This window comes from Homo sapiens, chromosome 16 (assembly GCF_000001405.40).
Source record: "Homo sapiens chromosome 16, GRCh38.p14 Primary Assembly".
In the NCBI taxonomy this organism is placed as follows: Eukaryota; Metazoa; Chordata; class Mammalia; order Primates; family Hominidae; genus Homo; species Homo sapiens.
This window is the reverse complement of record NC_000016.10, coordinates 78,955,604-78,973,879: the sequence shown is the minus strand read 5'-3', so window position 1 is coordinate 78,973,879 and position 18,276 is coordinate 78,955,604. Positions and strand designations below refer to the sequence as shown.

General features: G+C 42.8%; 1 protein-coding gene across 2 annotated transcripts in view, besides 2 other annotated features; it reads right to left on the bottom strand.

Annotated features, from left to right (window-relative positions):
* WWOX (WW domain containing oxidoreductase) overlaps positions 1 to 18,276 on the bottom strand; it is a 1,113,014-nt gene that overhangs the window by 238,788 nt on the left and 855,950 nt on the right. The gene's annotated exons all lie outside the window — the stretch shown is intronic.
* Positions 5,308 to 5,808: an enhancer, noted in NCBI's record as "H3K4me1 hESC enhancer chr16:79001969-79002469 (GRCh37/hg19 assembly coordinates)". NCBI's record gives its function as "activates a minimal SCP1, AML or CMV promoter by ChIP-STARR-seq in primed H9 embryonic stem cells {active_cell/tissue: H9 hESC(primed)}" and the evidence as "EXISTENCE:reporter gene assay evidence [ECO:0000049][PMID:30033119]".
* Positions 5,809 to 6,309: an enhancer, noted in NCBI's record as "H3K4me1 hESC enhancer chr16:79001468-79001968 (GRCh37/hg19 assembly coordinates)". NCBI's record gives its function as "activates a minimal SCP1, AML or CMV promoter by ChIP-STARR-seq in primed H9 embryonic stem cells {active_cell/tissue: H9 hESC(primed)}" and the evidence as "EXISTENCE:reporter gene assay evidence [ECO:0000049][PMID:30033119]".

Sequence of the window (18,276 nt, the reverse complement as noted above, 5' to 3'; positions counted from 1 at the left end):
TTGGAGATAGAAATTTCCGTTTTCCAAGGGAAGCAGGGGCTCTCGGCTCATGAGCCCTGGTGCCCCCACTCCCGAACCCCTGCCCGCATATCAGCACAGAAACTTGTGTCATTAAAAATACCCAGAAATACTTTTCATTTACTTTTTCTCTGGGAACAAATTACTCAAATTGAACTCAAGCTTTAAACTTTCATTTGTTAAAAGAGCACTTTGAAAAACCAGACAAGGCAAAGCAAAGCAAACAAAATAAAACCCTGAAGTTGGTCCTCCTACAGTTTGAGAGACTGAGACAGAAAGAAAAACTGTGCCCCCTGCCCCCAAAAAAAGAAAGCAAAAAGAAAATAAATAAATAAAGGGAGGCTTCGTATTCATCAGACATGTTGTTAGAGATGTTTGAAGAAATCAGCAGATACTTTAAGAACATATGAGAATTCATACTTGGTTGGCTAATTATTGAGTAGCTCTGTTCTCTGTATTGTGCTGTTAAAAGTGGAGATCGTTCTAGAACAGTTCTATTTTTCTCCCTTTTATCACCTTCCCCAGTCTACCCGGCTGTCTCCACTAGGGAACATAAGTACCCAAACGCCAGGATGACAGCCCGGACTTCTGCAAAGCGGCTTAATTACTCATTACGAGATTCCATCAACACAAGCTCCGGTCTGTGGTTTTGTAATAAGGGCCTTTATCTTTCTTAGGATTTCACTCCTTCATAAAGGCGGACGTGGCAGAGATTTCCGCAACCCCACCTTATACGGGAAGGGAATGAGAGGATTTTAATGCATGAATTTGATGTCATTAACAATGCTGACAGCTGTTTAATCCCAGGGGAAACAACAGCTGAGTCCCAACTGCAGGAAAAATAATTAACTCTTCAATGCGATCGGAGGAAGGGATCTTATGAATCAATTACGGGCCTCTTGCCTTACCTGCAGTTTTTGTCAATTACTCAGCCCTTCGGTCGGGAGGCTCCAGCGCTAATAAAATGACAGGCAGCCCTTACAAGGCGGGGAGACGTGTTAAGTTCAGAGGACAGATTTATTAAATGGGTCTGTTCTAAGTTTGCCATTAATTAAAATTAAAAACCATTTTTTATGTTTCCACTGAATCACAGAGAATAATGAACTAAAAGTAAAAGGAAATAATAAAGTGGGAGTCTTGGGTGACCTGAGGTCAGGGAGGAGAAGGCAGCTGAGCTGGAAGGGAAAGAAAAATAGGCTCTGCAGTTGAAACAGAAACAGAGGGTGGGATGTGCAGCGGTATGTACTTTATGACATGTGCCATTCAATGTAAATGGAACATTTACACACCTGCTGATGACGGTAAATTTGCTACTCTTCACCCTCCCTCCCCCAGAGATGGTCAGTGAGCCTCTCTTGGCGGCTTCAGGTTCTTTTATTTTTTTTTTTTTTCACCCCTGCTTGCTGACTTCCTTCCAGTGACTATTTCTACTGCTTTTAATTTGTAAAATATTATAGATATAAATAATGTCTGATTAAGATCCTGCTTTGAAATACACGGCGCTCACTTCACGGCTCCCATCCAATAAAGCCCTCCTGGATCCTTTCCATTCATTTATAATGCGAGACTCTGAGCAGATGTCTTAAGTATTCAATGTTACAAACAGCAACATTACATGAATTTAAATTTGGCTCTTTGTCTGAACGCCCCTCCAAGCACGGCAGCTGATGGCCAGGGAGCCCAGTTTCATCTGGAAATGAAGTTGCTCTGCCACCTGCCCCAAGCTTCCTCCTCCAATGCAGGACGACAGCCTGCTCTTTCCTGAGAGGTCTGGGCTGCTGGGTATACGGGGAGACCTTCCGGCAGATCAGGGTCTTCTAAAGTGACAGGTGGAGCAAGAAGTTTCGGAGTAAACAGCAGGTGGACAAACTCCTACCTCGGCCTGGGAAGAGCTCCAATGCTCCCCGAGTGTGCGCCTGAGGCTCCCGATGGATCCTCATAAAGAGCCTGCAAGGTCTGCACTAATATCCCGATTCTGCTGATGAGGAAACTGAGGTCCCAGGAAGAAAAATGAACTAGCTTTCTCTTGTTAGTGTTCTCTTTAAATGGCATTTAACAGATGTGCATGTGAAAATCCTCAGGTAAAGTTTGGAACCCAACAGCACAAAAAGAAGGCCAGGGCGGCAGAGGGTGGGGATCGGGGTGGGGGGGCGATTTATCAGAGACATGACTCAATGCTTTAACTTGAAAAAAAGGAACCCTAAGGAATATAAGGGATATTGTAACAATAGATTTGGTCCACCCAGTACCCTTCCTTTTTCTTATGCTCTTCTGGGAAGCACACTTTGCTCCATTTGACCCGTCAGGGATCCATTAGAGTGCTCCATTCTCTTTCCATGGCTGTAGATACATGACCTACGACACCTGTTAAACAGCCTATCTCTCTCTTTTTTTTTTTTTTTTTTTTTTTTTTGACACAGAGTCTGTCACCCAGACTGGAGAGCAGTGGCGTGACCTTGGCTCACTGCAACCTCCGCCTCCCGGACTCAACAGATTCTCCCGCCTCAGCCTTCTGAGTAGCTGGGATTACAAGTGCCTGCCACCTAATTTTTGTATTTTTAGTAGAGATGGGATTTCACCATGTTGGCCAGGCTGGTCTCGAACTCCTGACCTCAACAAGTGATCTTCCCGCCTCAGCCTCTCAAAGTGCTGGGATTACAGGTGTAGGCCACCGTGCCCGGCCCTAAAAAGTCTATCTCTTGACCACAGCGATTGCTCAGGAATAAAGCATATGGCTCACACTGGACTAGAATCTTACCTGATATATATATTGATATACATATACATATGTATACATATATATATACACCCTGGGAAACAGAGTGAGGAGCTCTCCTGCTGTTATGAAGCTAGCATGAGAATGGGAATCTGGATTTTCTGGCAGCTGTTTCTCCCACCAGGTAGAGAAAATCTGCTGCAGAAGTAAGCAAAACAGAGACCACCATAGCAAAAGACAGAAGCAAACAAATCATCTGATTATATTTTTGAGCCCCTGGATCCAGCCGTGCCTGAAGCCATCACTCCAAGACTTCCTGGTACATGAACCAACATACTCCCTTTTGCCAAAAGCTGGGTTTAGTTGCCCCCCAAGAATCACGACTAATAAGGAAGAAGGAGGGGAGGTACACACTGTTCTGTGAAAGTTCTACACATGGCTCCTCCTATCTTTTTAAATTATGGCCTCAAATGAATTCTCAGCAAATTTCTCATGATTCTGGCATTACACTATAATCTTTGTTAGCTCTCTGACTTTCCTCATACTGTTCCTTCTACCTTGAATGTCTTACTCTTCCACTTCCATACTTGGTGAGGGTCTATACATTGTTCAAAGCCTAGCTCAAACACAATGCCTTGGGTCGAGTCTCCCCTGGTTTTATTAGGTAGTACCAGGTTCCCCAAATAAACTGTGATCGCTCAAGAGCAAGAGTTGCACCTTTGTCACTGCTGTGCTCTCAACAATAAGGACGATGCTGGGCATGAGGTTATGCTAATTGATGTTATTCAAAAACCATTCACAGTGAACTAGAGAAAGTCCAAATGGAGTTTACACTGTAGTGGGGAAGGGCAGAGAATCAAAGAAAATGATTCGGGCAGGGATAAATCTGAGTCTCTAACTGAGAGCCAACACCGTGCTGTGGTTATCAAAAGAGCTAATGGCTTTCAAAGGGGGCATTAACAGCAGGAGGATGTGTGGGGTAGAGGTGACAGGCCCATTCCACGATGTGCTACTCAGGCCACATCTGGGTTCCTGTCGTGGTCCAGACTTAAATGAGGGCACTTGGGAAATTTGAGCGTTAGACTACTTGAATCCCATCACAGTTTTCATACAATTTTTTAACAGCTTTGTTGAGATATGATTCATATACCATACAATTCACCCATTTAAAGTGTTCAAAGTTTTAGTACAATCAAAGAGTTGTGAAAGAATTTCCACAATCAACTTTACAACATTTTTATTGCTTTAGAAGGAATCCTGCTATCTTTAGCTGTTAATCCCAAATGCCTCCATCCACGCCCCATCCCCAGCCCCTGGCAACCACTCTACTTTCTGTTTCTGCAGATTTGCCTCTTTGGGGTATTTCATGTAAATGAAATCATATAACATAGGGTCCTTTGTGACTGGCTTTTTTGATTAGTACAATGTTTTCAACATGCGAATTTTCCTTTCTTTCTTTTCTTTTCTCTTCTTTATTAAAGCTGCAGGAAACTCCCTTGTTCATAAACAGCACCTTGCATGAAATACAAAAATATGCAACAAAGAAGAGAGGAACTGTTCTAGTTGAAAGAGAGTGGCTGGGTGTGGTGGCTCACACCTGTCATCCCAGCACTTTGGGAGGCTGAGGCGGTTGGATCACTTGAGGTCAGGAGTTTGAGACCAGCCTGGCCAACACGGTGAAACCCTGTCTGTACTAGAAATACAAAATTAGCTGGGCATGGTGGCATGTGCCCCTGTAATCCCAGCTACTCGGGAGGCTGAGGCACGAGAATCCCTTGAACCAGGGAGATGGAGGGTGCAGTGGGCCAAGATAGCACCATTGTATTCCAGCCAGGTGACAGAGAGAGACCCTTCCTCAAAAAGAAAAAAAAAAAAAGAGAGAGAGAGAGAGAGCAGGGTGGCAATCCTAGTGTTATTTTCTTGACTTTGTCCCCTGAGGTAGCAAAGGAGCATGCTAGGGTTTGTGACTGAATTCAGTGCCCAGACCCATAAGACCAGACACAGAAACAGCCAGGGAGTCCCCTGACTGCTCCACTGGCTTCTCCCTCCCACAATTATACGCCAGGTCTCTAATGGAGGAAATAACAAGACAAGGGCCACTGGAGCCTGGTAGCTGAGCCACTCCCCGGGTTCCAGGCAGTCCATCTGGAAATATAAAGTTCTATTTTGTTATACATTTGAAAGTGGAAAAAAGCTGTGCTATTTCAAGTTGTCTTTTTTTTTTTTCTTTAAGAAACTGCCTTCTCCATGAAGAAGTATTATGTGACAAACATTCCAAGTCCCTTCTTATGGTAATACTGCACTTTGCAAATGGCTCGGATCCAATCCAATTGAACATAATAAAATGAAACAATCTGTGCTATCTCCAATAGCTTTAATCTTCACCATGCTAATGATTCCTAAAACCAATGAGCATGGTTTCAAAAAGAAGAAGAAGAAGAGGAAGAAGAAAGAAAAGACACATTCTGCCTCTCCCGATATCAGCCTCCTTGGCAGCTGGGGCTTGTGCTTTTTGTCACCATCATGAACCTCTCAACAGGGTCCTTGGGAAAAGCCTGCCCCATTGCTCTGAGGTCAAAGTTTACATGTGAAACCAACTTATAACAGTCATCATAATGTCCCGTTGCTTGTGATGGTTAACAATGAAACATAATTGCATCCACGATGAAGACTGCCATCTCATTTTGCAAGGTTGGTGAGAACTCCCTAGGGAACAGTTTGGCTACCACCAGGACCTGGTCTCTGGCAATTAGCAATGACAATTTATCTCCATCTACACAAAATGGCCAGGGCTCAGAGCACATGGTTCCTGCCTCGGGTCGGTGGTGACAGTTCCCTGTTGGATTCCTACGGGTAGGACTATGGGGCACAGTTTCTGGATAGTCTGGAAATCGCCCATTCACTCATTCACTTGCATGTATGAATCATGTCCATGTGCTGTGCCATGCAGACCACGCACTGTGCCACGCAGACCACGCGCTGTGCCACGCGGACCACGCGCTGTGCCACACGGACCACGCGCTGTGCCACGCGGACCACGCGCTGTGCCATGCGGACCATGCACTGTGCCATACAGACCACACACTGTGCCATGCAGACCATGCACTGTGCCACAAGGAATGGTAGATTAAACACATACACTTATACATCTTCTTTTAATATAGTGGGGTATGGGCTAAATGAGAAGTATAAACACAGAACTGGGGGTGAGGAAAGGAAGAAAGGCTCCCTGTCTCCCTGTTCCCTCCTCCTCCTGCAGCTACTGATGTGGCCCCGGAGGCTGCAACAGAGTTGATTTATGTGGCATCACTCCCATCCTCTCCCATCCTGCCTCTCCTACTCTTACACACCCCAAAGATTTGGAACTCTGTGCCATCCTCTGCAGTCTCCAGCTTCTGAGTCCTCCTAAGTCAGGTCCTGACCGTTCATGGTGATCCTTCATCCTGTGGGAACCTAACACCCACTAGACTCTCCCAAGCTAAATCTGAATGACACCAGTCTTGGCTGTTTCCTGTATTTCTTTAAAAGTCTACATAGGGGGTATTGGGCATAGTGGCTCACACCTGTAATCCCAGCACTCTGGGAGGCCAAGATGGGTGGATCACCTGGACTCAGGAGTTTGAAACCAGCCTGGAGAACATGGTGAAATCCCCATCTCAGCAGGAAAAAAAAAAAAAAAAAAAAAACCACAAAAATTAACCAGGCATGTTGGTGCATACTTGTGGTCCCAGCAACTCAGGAGGCTGAGGTGGGTGGAAAGCTTGAGCCCGGGAGGCTGCAGTGAGCCATGATCATGCCACTGCACTCCAGCCTGGGTGACAGAGTGAGTCTCAAAAAAAAAAAAAAAAAAAAAAAAAAAGGCCTCGGCAGGCAGGAGTAGTTGCCTCCCAGTTGTTTGGGGCTAGATTCATCCACTTGCAACATGATTTGAATCACGCATTTTCCTCTTTCCTTCCAGGTATCTCTCAGGGCTGATGGGCTTCTCAGAGAGGCAGGTAAACTTGGGAAAACAGGCTGAAACACATATCAGATAACCCAGGGACAGATGCATGACTATGGGGAAAGTTCTAGAAGAGAAAAGAAAGGACAACAATGGACCAAAGGAAGCATTTGAATAGTCTGCATATTCTACAGGCTCTTCTTCCAGTGGAGACAATAATAAATGTTAATAAGAAATAACTCAGTATTTACGAACCCCTTACCATGTACCAGACACAACGCAGACGCTTTTTATCTACAAACTCATTCAATCTCCACTGCAACTCTATGAGGTGGGAACTATTATTTTTCCCATTTCACAAATTTAGTACCCGAGGCCCAAAGCAGTAGGTAATTCTGCCAAAGTAGAACAGTTGGCACATGTGATTTGAATCCAGACCTCCATTTTCAGTGATATCAGCAGACCATGAAAAGAGTTTTGCAATATATTTAAGCTCCTTTAAACAGTGTGCACCCTTTGACTCAGTGATCTTACTTCTGAAAATGTAATCTTAAGAAATAGCTCAATATTATTAATACATACTATATTTATTGATTCAAAACATTCACATGTTACTTTTTAGCCTTACTTATAGTAAGGAAAATTTAGAAACAATCTAAATTTTCACTATTAGGGGAAGAGTTAAAAAAAAAACTACAGTCATAGCCACTAAGTGGAATTTATAGCCATCTTAAAAACGATGTACATGAAAAGCCTATAATATTGTGGAAGGGTATTTTAGTGTTAAGGTCAAAAGCAGAACCAAAACTTCTATAGACAGTATGATTACAAATATGTTTAGATGCCAGGATAGGGGGTGTACAGTAAACGGAAAGAAGCACTGTTTTCCATTTGGTTCCATCTGAAACAGCTATCAGGAAATGATTTGTTTCTGAGCATGTCTGTTATCTCCTCTTAACCTATAGCCTCTTAAACCAGTGCCTTTAGAAAACTCAACCTGACTTTTTTGTTCCTGAGATATTTCACACGGAAAAATAAATTATATCATGGGATTTAATATCTAAGTTGGATAAGTAAAGCTAGGTTCTTTAGCTGATAGGTAAGAAGCCACGCAAAAAAGCTTGGAATCCTCAGAGCTGGTCACACAGTGTATCCAAAATTGATGAGGCACACAGATAGCACCTGGAGATAACTTTTTCCATTCTTGTTCTCAGGTGCAGAACCAAATCACAGCATCTCCTTCCTCCAACTCTACTTTGGAGCAAATTGAGTCCAAATTAGATCACCCATTTCGTCCAATTGTATAAACCACGGCAATACTGCTTGGGAAAATCTAATAGTGTTAATCTAAGAACTGCTCCTGTGCCCACAATAGAATCAAACAAATAATCAATAAGCCTCTAGATATTATAACATCACTGAGTGAAGGACAGAGAAAAGATTGTGTGTGCAGAGGTTGCTGCTTAAATGGGATCAAGTCACAATGCGGGAAGGGCAAAGCCAACACAAAAAAATGACGACGACAGAACTGGGTTGAGTAACATAGTTTATGCCAGAGATGCTAACAGTGCCAGAATCTTCTAGTGGAAAGCATTAGACTGTGTATCTGAATAAGGCGGGCATTTTTTTTTTTTTTTAAGATGGAGTTTTGCTCGTTACCCAGGCTGGAGTGCAATGGTGCCATCTCGGCTCACTGCAACCGCTACTTTCCGGGTTCAAGTGATTCTCCTGCCTCAGCCTCCCAAGTAGCTGGGATTACAAGTGCCTGCCACCATGCCCAGCTAATTTTTTGTATTTACAGTACAGATGGGGTTTCACCATGTTGACCAGGCTAGTCTCGAACTCCTAACCTCAGGTGCTCCACCCACCTCAGCCTCCCAACGTGCTAGGATTATAGGCATGAGCCACCGTGTCTGGCCAAATTTTACTAGTGATTTAAACATCTTGTTCAACCATCAATACTATCTCTGTGGAATTGTTACTATTGTTCCCATGTTACTGATGGAAACATATGAGGTTTAAAGAGCTTAGTTCACTTTCCCTCTTCTCACAGATCCACTGGGCAGTGCCCCAGTATGGACTCTGCCTGGAGGCTCCAGCCCTACATTTCCCTTCAGCACTGCCCTAGCAGAGGTTCTCCATGAGGGCTCCACCCATGCAGCAAACTTTTGCTGGGGCATCCAGGTGTTTCCATATATTTTCTGAAAACTAGGCAGAGGTTCCCAAACCCCAATTCTTGACTTCTGTGCCCCCACACACTCAACACCACATGGAGGCTGCCAAGGCTTGGGGCTTCCACCCTCTGAAGCCACAGCCTGAGCTATACCTTGGCCCCTTTCAGCCATGACTGGAGTGGCTGGGACACAGGGCACCAAGTCCCTAGGCTACACACAGCACAGGGACCCAGGGCTGGGCCCATGAAATCATTTTTTCCTCCTGGGACTTCAGGCCTCTGATAGGAGGGGCTGCTGTGAAAGTCTCTGACATGGCCTGGAGACATTTTCCTCATGGTCTTCGAGATTAACATTAGGTTCCTTGCCACTTACACAAATTTCTGCAGCCAGCTTGAATTTCTCCCCAGAAAATGGGTTTTTCTTTTCTATCGCACAATCAGACTGCAAATTTTCCAAACCTTGATGCTCTGCTTCTTTTATAAAACTGAATGCCTTTAACAGCACCCAAGTCACCTCTTGAATGTTTTGCTGATGAGAAATTTCTTCGGCCAGATACCCTAAATCATCTTTCTCAAGTTCAAAGTTCCACAAATCTCTAGCGCAGGGGCAAAATGCTGCCAGTCTCTTTGTTAAAACATAACAAGAGTCACCTGTGCTCCAATTCCCAACGAGCTCCTCATCTCCATCTGAGACCACCTCAGCCTGGACATTATTGTCCATATTGCTATCAGCATTTTGGGCAAAGCCATTCAACAAGTCTCTAGGAAGCTCCAAACTTTCCCACATTTTCCTGTCTTCTTCTGAGACCTCCCAACGGTTCTAACTTCTTCCTGTTACCCAGTTCCAAAGTCACTTCCACATTTTCAGATATCTTTTCAGCAATGCCCCACTCTACTGGTACCAATTCACTGTATTAGTCCATTTTCACACTGCTGATAAAGACATAACCTGAGACCGGGAAGAAAAAGAGGTTTAATCAGGCTTACAGTTCTACATGGCTGGGGAGGTCTCAGAATCATGGTGGAGGTGAAAGGCACTTCTTACATGGTGGTGGCAAGAGAAAAACTGCAGAAACCCCTGATAAATTCATTGGATCTTATGAAACTTATTCACTTTCATAAGAATAACATGGGAAACACCAGCCCCCATGATTCAATTACCTCTCCCTGGGTCCCTCCCACAACACGTGGGAATTCTGGGAGATACGATTCAAGTTAAGATTTGGGTGGGGACACAGCCAAAGCATATCAGCAAGTCAGTAGCACCTTTAAGGCCCACTTTCTGTATCTTAAAATGGAAAAAACAATATGTGTCTGTGTGTTAAGTGCATAGTGCAATGTCTGGCAGAAAGTCCATACTCAATGCATGTTGGCTCTTAATAGCCTTATCATGACATCACCTTAATTATTTTTAAAAAGCATACCACTAACATAACTAGCATAAGCAAATACTGAACTCTAATTCAGTAATTCAAGGATGACACACCTGCTTAAGTGTTTAGGAGTGAAGCGACTGCTGTCTGCAACTTATTTAGCTTTTTGTTTGTTTATTTGTTTTTGTTTCTGAGACGGGGTATTACTCTGTCGCCCAAGTTGAGTGCAGCAGTGTAGTCACAGTTCACTGCAGCTTCAATCTCCTGTACTCCAGCAATTCTCCTGCCTCAGCTGCCCAAGTAGCTGGGACCACAGGCATACACCACCATGGGCAGCTAATTTTTTTTATTTTTGAAGAGATAAGGCCTCACTATGTTGCCCAGACTGGTCTTCAACTCCCGGACTCAAGGAATCCTCTCACCTCTGCCTCTCAAAATGCTGGTATTACAGGTGTGAGCCACTGCACCTGACCTACAACTTATTTTGAAATGAATCAAGATAGACTGATGGATAGACAAGAGGAATGGTAAATGGATAGAGATGCAAATAGAGGGAAATGTTAATTGTAGAATCTAGGTGGTGCATATCAGAGTACTTACAGTACAATTCTTTCAACTTTTGTGTACGTCTGCAATTTTTCATAATACAAACTGTTGGTAGGATGGCAGTGGCAGAGAAAGAAGAATGACAATAAAGAATGAAATATCGTGGGCAAATCCCACAACCTAATGAGGAGTAAAAGAAGCAAGACAGCAAAGAATGCGTACTGGGTGACTATTTATATGAATTCAGGAACAGAAAACTATGCTGATAGAAATCAGAATAGTGGTTACCTCTTAATGCTGATGGTACTTCTTGCTTAGAAAGGGGAACAGATGAGCCTTCTGAGGTGTTAGAAATGTTCTCTGTCTTGATCTGAGTGGTGTTTACACAGTTGTATAAATAAGTATGAGTTCATTGAACTGTACATTTAATGTGTGTGCACCTTACCGTAGGAATGATACATCTCAAGTTAGATTCTGATGCAAGCAGCTCACATTTTCTGAATGCCCTCCTCTTCCTGTGCCAGGCATTCTTTCTGGGCACTTTCTGATGCATTCACTTGGAAAACCATTTCAGAGAATTGTCTGACAGAATACATTATTTAAGCCTTTAAATGCAATGTGAAGCAATCTCACTTTCTTAGAAAATGACTGTCATCCCTGAGAGTAAGCTTGGCCTACAAGGAAATTATGAATGTGTAAAACTCCTCAGCCTCCTAGCCCTTGTCCAGAGCCTTTGGGCCTTTTCTTGCTTCCTTCACAATCACATTCCTTCTTTTTTTTTTTTTTTAAAAAAAAAAAAAAAAAAAAAAAAGGATGCCTTGCTGACTCCAAATCTCTTCCTTCTGGCACAGAATTCAGCTAATGGGATAGAGAAAAAAGAAGCCACCTCCACATAACATCACACAGAAAGTCATCCACAGGGTGGCTGTCCTCATTAAAGCCTAGGCTTCTCTTCTCTCCTCTGGGAGAGATTCCTGTTCAGATGGCAAGCCTCTCCCTCTTTTTCACCCTAAGACTGTCCCTTTCCAAAGCTCCTTTATGGCCCAACCCACTGGATCATAGGTAGAAGTCACATCCAGACTTGCTCAGGAGCAGCCTGGAAGGAGGTCCTGACAAGAGACAAGGGATCTGTTTAAGGCAACAAAGACTTGGCTGCTGGGTCCATCCCTAATACCTGCCAAATTGTGCTTGATGTAAATCTGAAGGCAATAGGTCTTGGATGCAGTCAATGTGGAACCACAGAATGATTTCTGCAAAATCAACTTCATGGAAGATGTAGCAGAAATAGAGATGCATTAAGATTCAGGACAGCAAGACTACTATGATAACCTGAGGTACTTGTTTAAAAGATAAAGTTCCCCAAGTTCCTCCTCAGACTTACTGAACCAGAAAATCAGGAAGTGATACCCAGAATATGCTTATTTTAACAAGCTCACCTTGGGGATTCTCTTGCACGTGAAGCTGGAAGATCAAAGACTCTTTGTAAAGAGTCCCTTCAGAAGAACAAGCCTTTCATTTATCCCCCCTTACTCACCCATCCATGCACCCACCAACCCACCCATCCATACATCCATCTATGTACCCACCTACCACCCACCATTCCACACACCCACGCATCCATCCATCTACCTATCCATCCATCCATCCATCCATCCACCCATCCATCCATCCATCCATGTATCCCATAGCTATATATCTGCTGAGTGTTATCTTTGTGCCATGCCACAAACTGCAACCTCCTTGATGGTCAAAGACCAAGTTTCCTTACACCAACTAGTTTTACAGAGAACTACATCAATTTAGGCATGTTCAATTATATAATCATCAGTTCATATATAACTATCATGTTTTAAAAACCTTACAGTAATTTCCCTCATTTTTCCTCGTTAATCTGCATAGACCTTTTAACTTCTGATGTCACCATCCCTGCATAAAGGACCCCTGGCTTTTAGGAGACTATGATCTGGAACATAACCATTGAATGCTTGGCTTGAGTCTTTCTTTCAGGGGAACTTGCACCATGAGCTGAGAACACCTGAGTCTCAAGGGCCTGAGGGTCATCATGCCCAGATGTATGGAGCTGATTACTTTTACAGACATCTCATCACAAGTGAGTAAAGATACTCCATGGAGAATACATTATAGATTCTTCTCTTTCCAGAAAGCTAAGATAATTTGGGACCCAAAGCAAGCCCCGTAGGTTCTGAACTTCTTTACTTTTGACATCAAGTCTTCAAAAGAGCTATGTATGTATACAGTAAATAAAGCAACTGAGGCAGAGATTCAGTAAAACAGGATGCTAGTTTAACAAGAAGACAAAAAAAATAAGGTGACTAAATAGAGAACTCCCAAAGCTACATAGGCTCCTTTTGGAACAAGTGCTGTGTACCTCTACTGGAAAGTCATACATCCCAGTAGCTGATGGCACAGGGACCTATTGTCCCTGATGGCTCTCTGTTCCCTCCAGACTGTGAGAACCTTGAAGGTAGAGACAATTTCCTTATTTCTGACCAATGGATCTGTTCCATGCCTGACAGTCATAACTCAATAAATACCTGCTCTCTTGTGGAGATATTTCCTTCTGGGGTAAGAAGGTGACAAAATGAGGCAGTTGTAATCTCCAGTAGATTTAAGCTAAAGCAAATAAATGATTTTCATGAAGTGACAGTCTCCTTTCATATGAAGTATTGAGGATGGTAGAGAGCAAGTCTAGATGGCTGAAGGACAGGTAGTATCAGCCCAGTCACTCAGCAGCAACAAACACGGACTTAGTTTTGAATATACCACAAGCCAAACGTTACGCTAGAAAATATGAAGCCTAGTCCTATCATTTTCTGTCTTTCATAGCTGGAGGTGGGGAGGTCTTTGTCCTATGACCCAAATTAAGGTCATTTTTGGTGTCAGACATTACAAGTCAGGTACTATCTTTTACACCACAACATGGCTTTCTGGAATTAGCTGTTCTTCCTCAGTCTACTCTGCCTCTGAGCCACAGCACAACCCCTTATCCCTCACTCTTTGACAATGACCCTGACCTGTAGCCATTTAGTCTGTCCCACCATGCACCAATACCCACTAACTGGTAGACCTAAAGCACAAATGTCATTGGTATTTCCTTTAGTTAACCAGAAGTCTCTCACCTTATACACACCCTTTATTCTCAACCTTGGTTGCAAATGAGAATTACTTAGGTCATCTAGAAACTCTTGATGCCCAGGCTGTATCCTTATCCAATTAAATCAGACTCTCCAGAAGAAAACCAGGCATCAGGATCTTTTATAGTTCCCCGTATGATTTCCACAGGGTTCAGAACACCGACAGAGGACATCTTTCCCTCACTTGTCTCGGATTCATCAATATGGGCATTTGGTCATGGAAAGGCTCCTAGGCCTTTTGATGTGGTAGTTGCAGGGGGGTCTCATCAGTGTCTGAGCCTGCAGTCTATCCGACAAATTTTGATGAGCTCTTTGATCTTTCACCAAGACACTGGCCTTCCTATCACACTGAGAGTCAATACTACGGGTTCTCACAACCTAGAAGTAGATGGATGGATAGATGGATGAATGGACAGATGAATGGATGAACAGGTGGATGAATGCATGAGTGAATAGATGGATGGACAGATAGATGGATGGCTAACCCTGTGAAGGTTTTTATTATCATACCTGAATTAGCTTGTTAGTGTTATCTTTTCAAATGTTTATGTCCCCTAATGGACGTCAAGTTCCAAAACATGGACATCTCTATCTCTCTTTGCTTTCTCAGGGCCAAGCACAGCACTTGGCTGGCAGCAGATATAGCAACAGGTAAAAAATACATGCCTTTTGAAAAATAAATGAATTAAGTTCAATGCCCTTATTTCTAAGTCTGTACAATATTATTCCAGGAACATAATTTCTCAGTAATGAGAAGAACGAGAACCTTGACGTAGAGATGGCCCATTGATATTTTACTTTCATACTCTACAAGGAAATACCTAGCGGTAAGTTCGGATAAACATTCTAATTGGAAGATGGTCTTACTAATCTCAAGAAAAAGTGGGTAGACAAGCATTTTTAAAAACATTACATTATTTTAATATTAAATGTCTTGCTGTTATAGAACTCCCTTTTTTCACAGATGGGAAACTAAGGCCTAGCAAATAATTTACCTCAGATCTTGAACCCAGAACTCTTATTTTTTAGTCCAAATCTCTCCCCACTAAGCTATGCTCACCCTATGGAGTTGAATGCAACAAACATGTTTTTTTCTTTTGAATCAAAGGAAGAATTTTAAAATTACATAACCTTCCTTCCCCTGTGCCCACTACCCCAACCATGTCCTATTTTCAGATTAAACTATCCAAAGTGGCATTGACGACTTGGTATATTTCATCAAACTAATTGCATCCTGGTGATACCTGCACATACCATGTAATTTATATTTCAGTTGTCTGAGAATACCAAAAGAAAACCAGAGAAACCTTTGTTGTACCACACTTGGTAAAAGGATGGACTCGCATTTCTAGTGGGAGAGAGGGGCAGCACTGTTAAAAAACACTGTTCAGCTTACTTTGGAAACTGCAAGGCACCATAACTTCCCAAATTGGCAAAACTACCTGCTATGGATTGTAGTAAAGTGTGTTTTTAAATTATTTCAGAACCATAAAACCTCTCCATAGAGAGTACTTTGAAAGTGCAAATTAAATATAGAACATCCATGAACTCTATCCATTTTTACAGTAAGTATATATTTCCATGGGGGTTTGTACCATCTTTTTTGTCTAGTTACACTAGTTAATAATGCAGTGAATTTTCAGTAATAGAGTAAATGTTATTTTGATGACACTATTTGATTAAATTAAAGATGACATTAAAAGGACCATTTCAATAAAGAACCGAAATATTCAGAAGTAGCTGGAGCTGAGTGTTTAAGTCAGCTAGTCTGGCGGTCTTAAAAGGACCAAATGGAATTTCCTTCGCCGTGTGAATGATGAGCAAGTTAAGGAACAATAGGACCAAATAATATATCGGAGAATATGAAGGCTCAGATTCCAAGACCCAGGCAATGTTAGTTATTTGAGGCAGGCATACCACGCGCCAGAAAACAGCTCATGTGGCCTTGGGAAAATGTAGAAACGCATTAAATAAAACGAAAGTGAGAGGGCACTGAGATTTGCAGCAAATGTGCTGATGTGGTGACAGTGAATTGAGTTGTTGCACAAACAAAAGAAAGGGCGGATTAGTCATGTGTCCCCCCACGCCCAGCCTCTTCTCTGCAAATTCACAAAGGCACAAGTGGGCCAGCCGCACCAGCGCAGGGACAGCTTTGAGATTAAAACAGGACAAGAGAGTCCTAATTCTTTTGTTAAGGTCTCCGTTCCTATGGTGTTTGCCAAAGAAAAGTTCTTCTCCTAACGGAGAGGTTCACATACATAAATCAAACAACTGCTTGAAAATCCCTTGACTTAAGTTTTTAGAGATAGAATCTGTAGTTTTTAGAGATAGAATCTATCCGAAGAGACATACCTCAGTAACGTGACTGAGTTATGAATCACGGGTATTTCACCAGAAAGAAGACCCGAGATTAAAGGTGTGCAGCAGTAGACATTCTCAGTTCCCACAGAACACCTGTTCTGGTGTCTCAGCCCCAAACACAGGCGACATCCCTATGTCTACAATGAGCCACTGGCTGTTGACAAGTTCAGGCCTGAAGCATTCACATTTGTGGGTGTTTTTACAACTAAAGAGAGACAGGGGGAAAAGAACAATTCAGCTCAAGCTAATATAATTCTTTCTTGTGATCTCAAAACAGCATCATTAGATGCTAAGTTTTCTCAGATAATTATCTGGTCGTCACGCATGTCGGTATCTCAAAATAATTATTTCGTCACACAAAAGGACGGCGGTGTGGTTTGCTGGAAAAGTCGTGTGCCCTGCATTTCAGTAAATATTGCTTCTTTAAGGGCAGATACCTCAGATTGCAACACTCATGGTGTTTTCAACCTTCTGCATATAAAGTGGGAGCGTTTACTATCTTCCCAGTGCAAATCACTTAGACACAAAGGATGATATAGAAAGTCACATGAGGCAAGTCTATTAAATAAAGCATGTGAATAACACACGGAGTCCTCAAGCTGCCAGGAAATTTGTTCTCACCGAAGATACCCACGTACTGGGAGGGACTGCAACTACTCAGAAGTGACAGTAGCAAACTTTCTTTACAAAACATCCTATTTCCCAGAATTTTGAGTGGCTCAAGCCTACATGTTTGAGACACTCTCCTTCACAATTTCCAAAAGTGGGCACAGCATGCCTTCGTGACCTCCTGTTGCCCTCTTTGTTTCCCCTACAGGTCTGAGGCTGGGCTCAGCAGATCCCAAATTTCTTGTTTGTGGCACACTTTTGAAACTCAAAAACACAAAAGGAATTTTTGATGTGTGCACAAAGAGATTAAAAAGTGAAAACAGAGGTATTTTAGGGCAATGAAATTATTCGGTATGATATGATATGATATGACATGATATGATATGATACAATATATGATGTATGATAGATACATGTCATTCCATGTCTGTGAAAACCCACAGAATATATATCACCAACTGTGAACCTAATGAACCTATAGACTTTAGGTGATGATGATGTGTCATTGTAGATTAATCAATTAAAACAAATACAGGCCTAGAGTGGTGGCTCATGCCTGTAATCCCAGCACTTGGGGAGGCCGAGATGGGCGGATCACTTGAGGTCAGGAGTTAGAGACCAGCCTGGCCAACATGGTGAAACTCCGCCTTCACTAAAAATATATATTAAAAAAAAATGAGCTGGGTATGGTGGCATGTGCCTATAATCCCAGCTACTCAGGAGGCTGAGGCAGCAGAATTGCTTGAGCCCTCGAGGTCAAGGCTACAGTGAGCTGAGGTGGTGCCACTGCACTCCAGCCTGGGTGACAGAGCAAGACTCCATCTCAAAACAACAACAAACCCCCAAAACCTAAACAAATACATGGATCTAGTGGGGATGTAGATAGTGAGCCAGGGCTCTGCCGGAGGTATACGGGAACTCTCTGTACTTTCTGCTCAATTTTGGCTCCCCAACTAAAACAGTTCTAAAAAAAAAAGTTTTTTTTGTGTTTTTTTTTGTTTTTTGTTTTTTGTTTTTTTCTAAAGTGAAAAGAAGGCCAGAGGCCAGGCATGGTGGCTCATGCATGTAATCTCAGCACTTTGGGAGGCTGAGGGGGGATGGGAGATCGCTTGAGGCCAGGAATTAGAGACCAGCCTGGGAAACATAGTGAGACCTCATCTTTACAAAAAATAAATTAGCCAGAGGTGGTGATGTACAACCGTAGTCCCAGCTACTCGGGAGGCTGAGGCAGGAGAACTGCTTGAGTTTAGGAGGCTGAGGCTGCCATGATTGGGCCACTGCACTCCATCCAGCCTGGGCAATAGAGCAAGACCCTGTCTCAAAACAAAAAAAACAAAAATAAATTTTAAAAATAAAAAGAAACAAGAAAATAAAAAAAATATAAA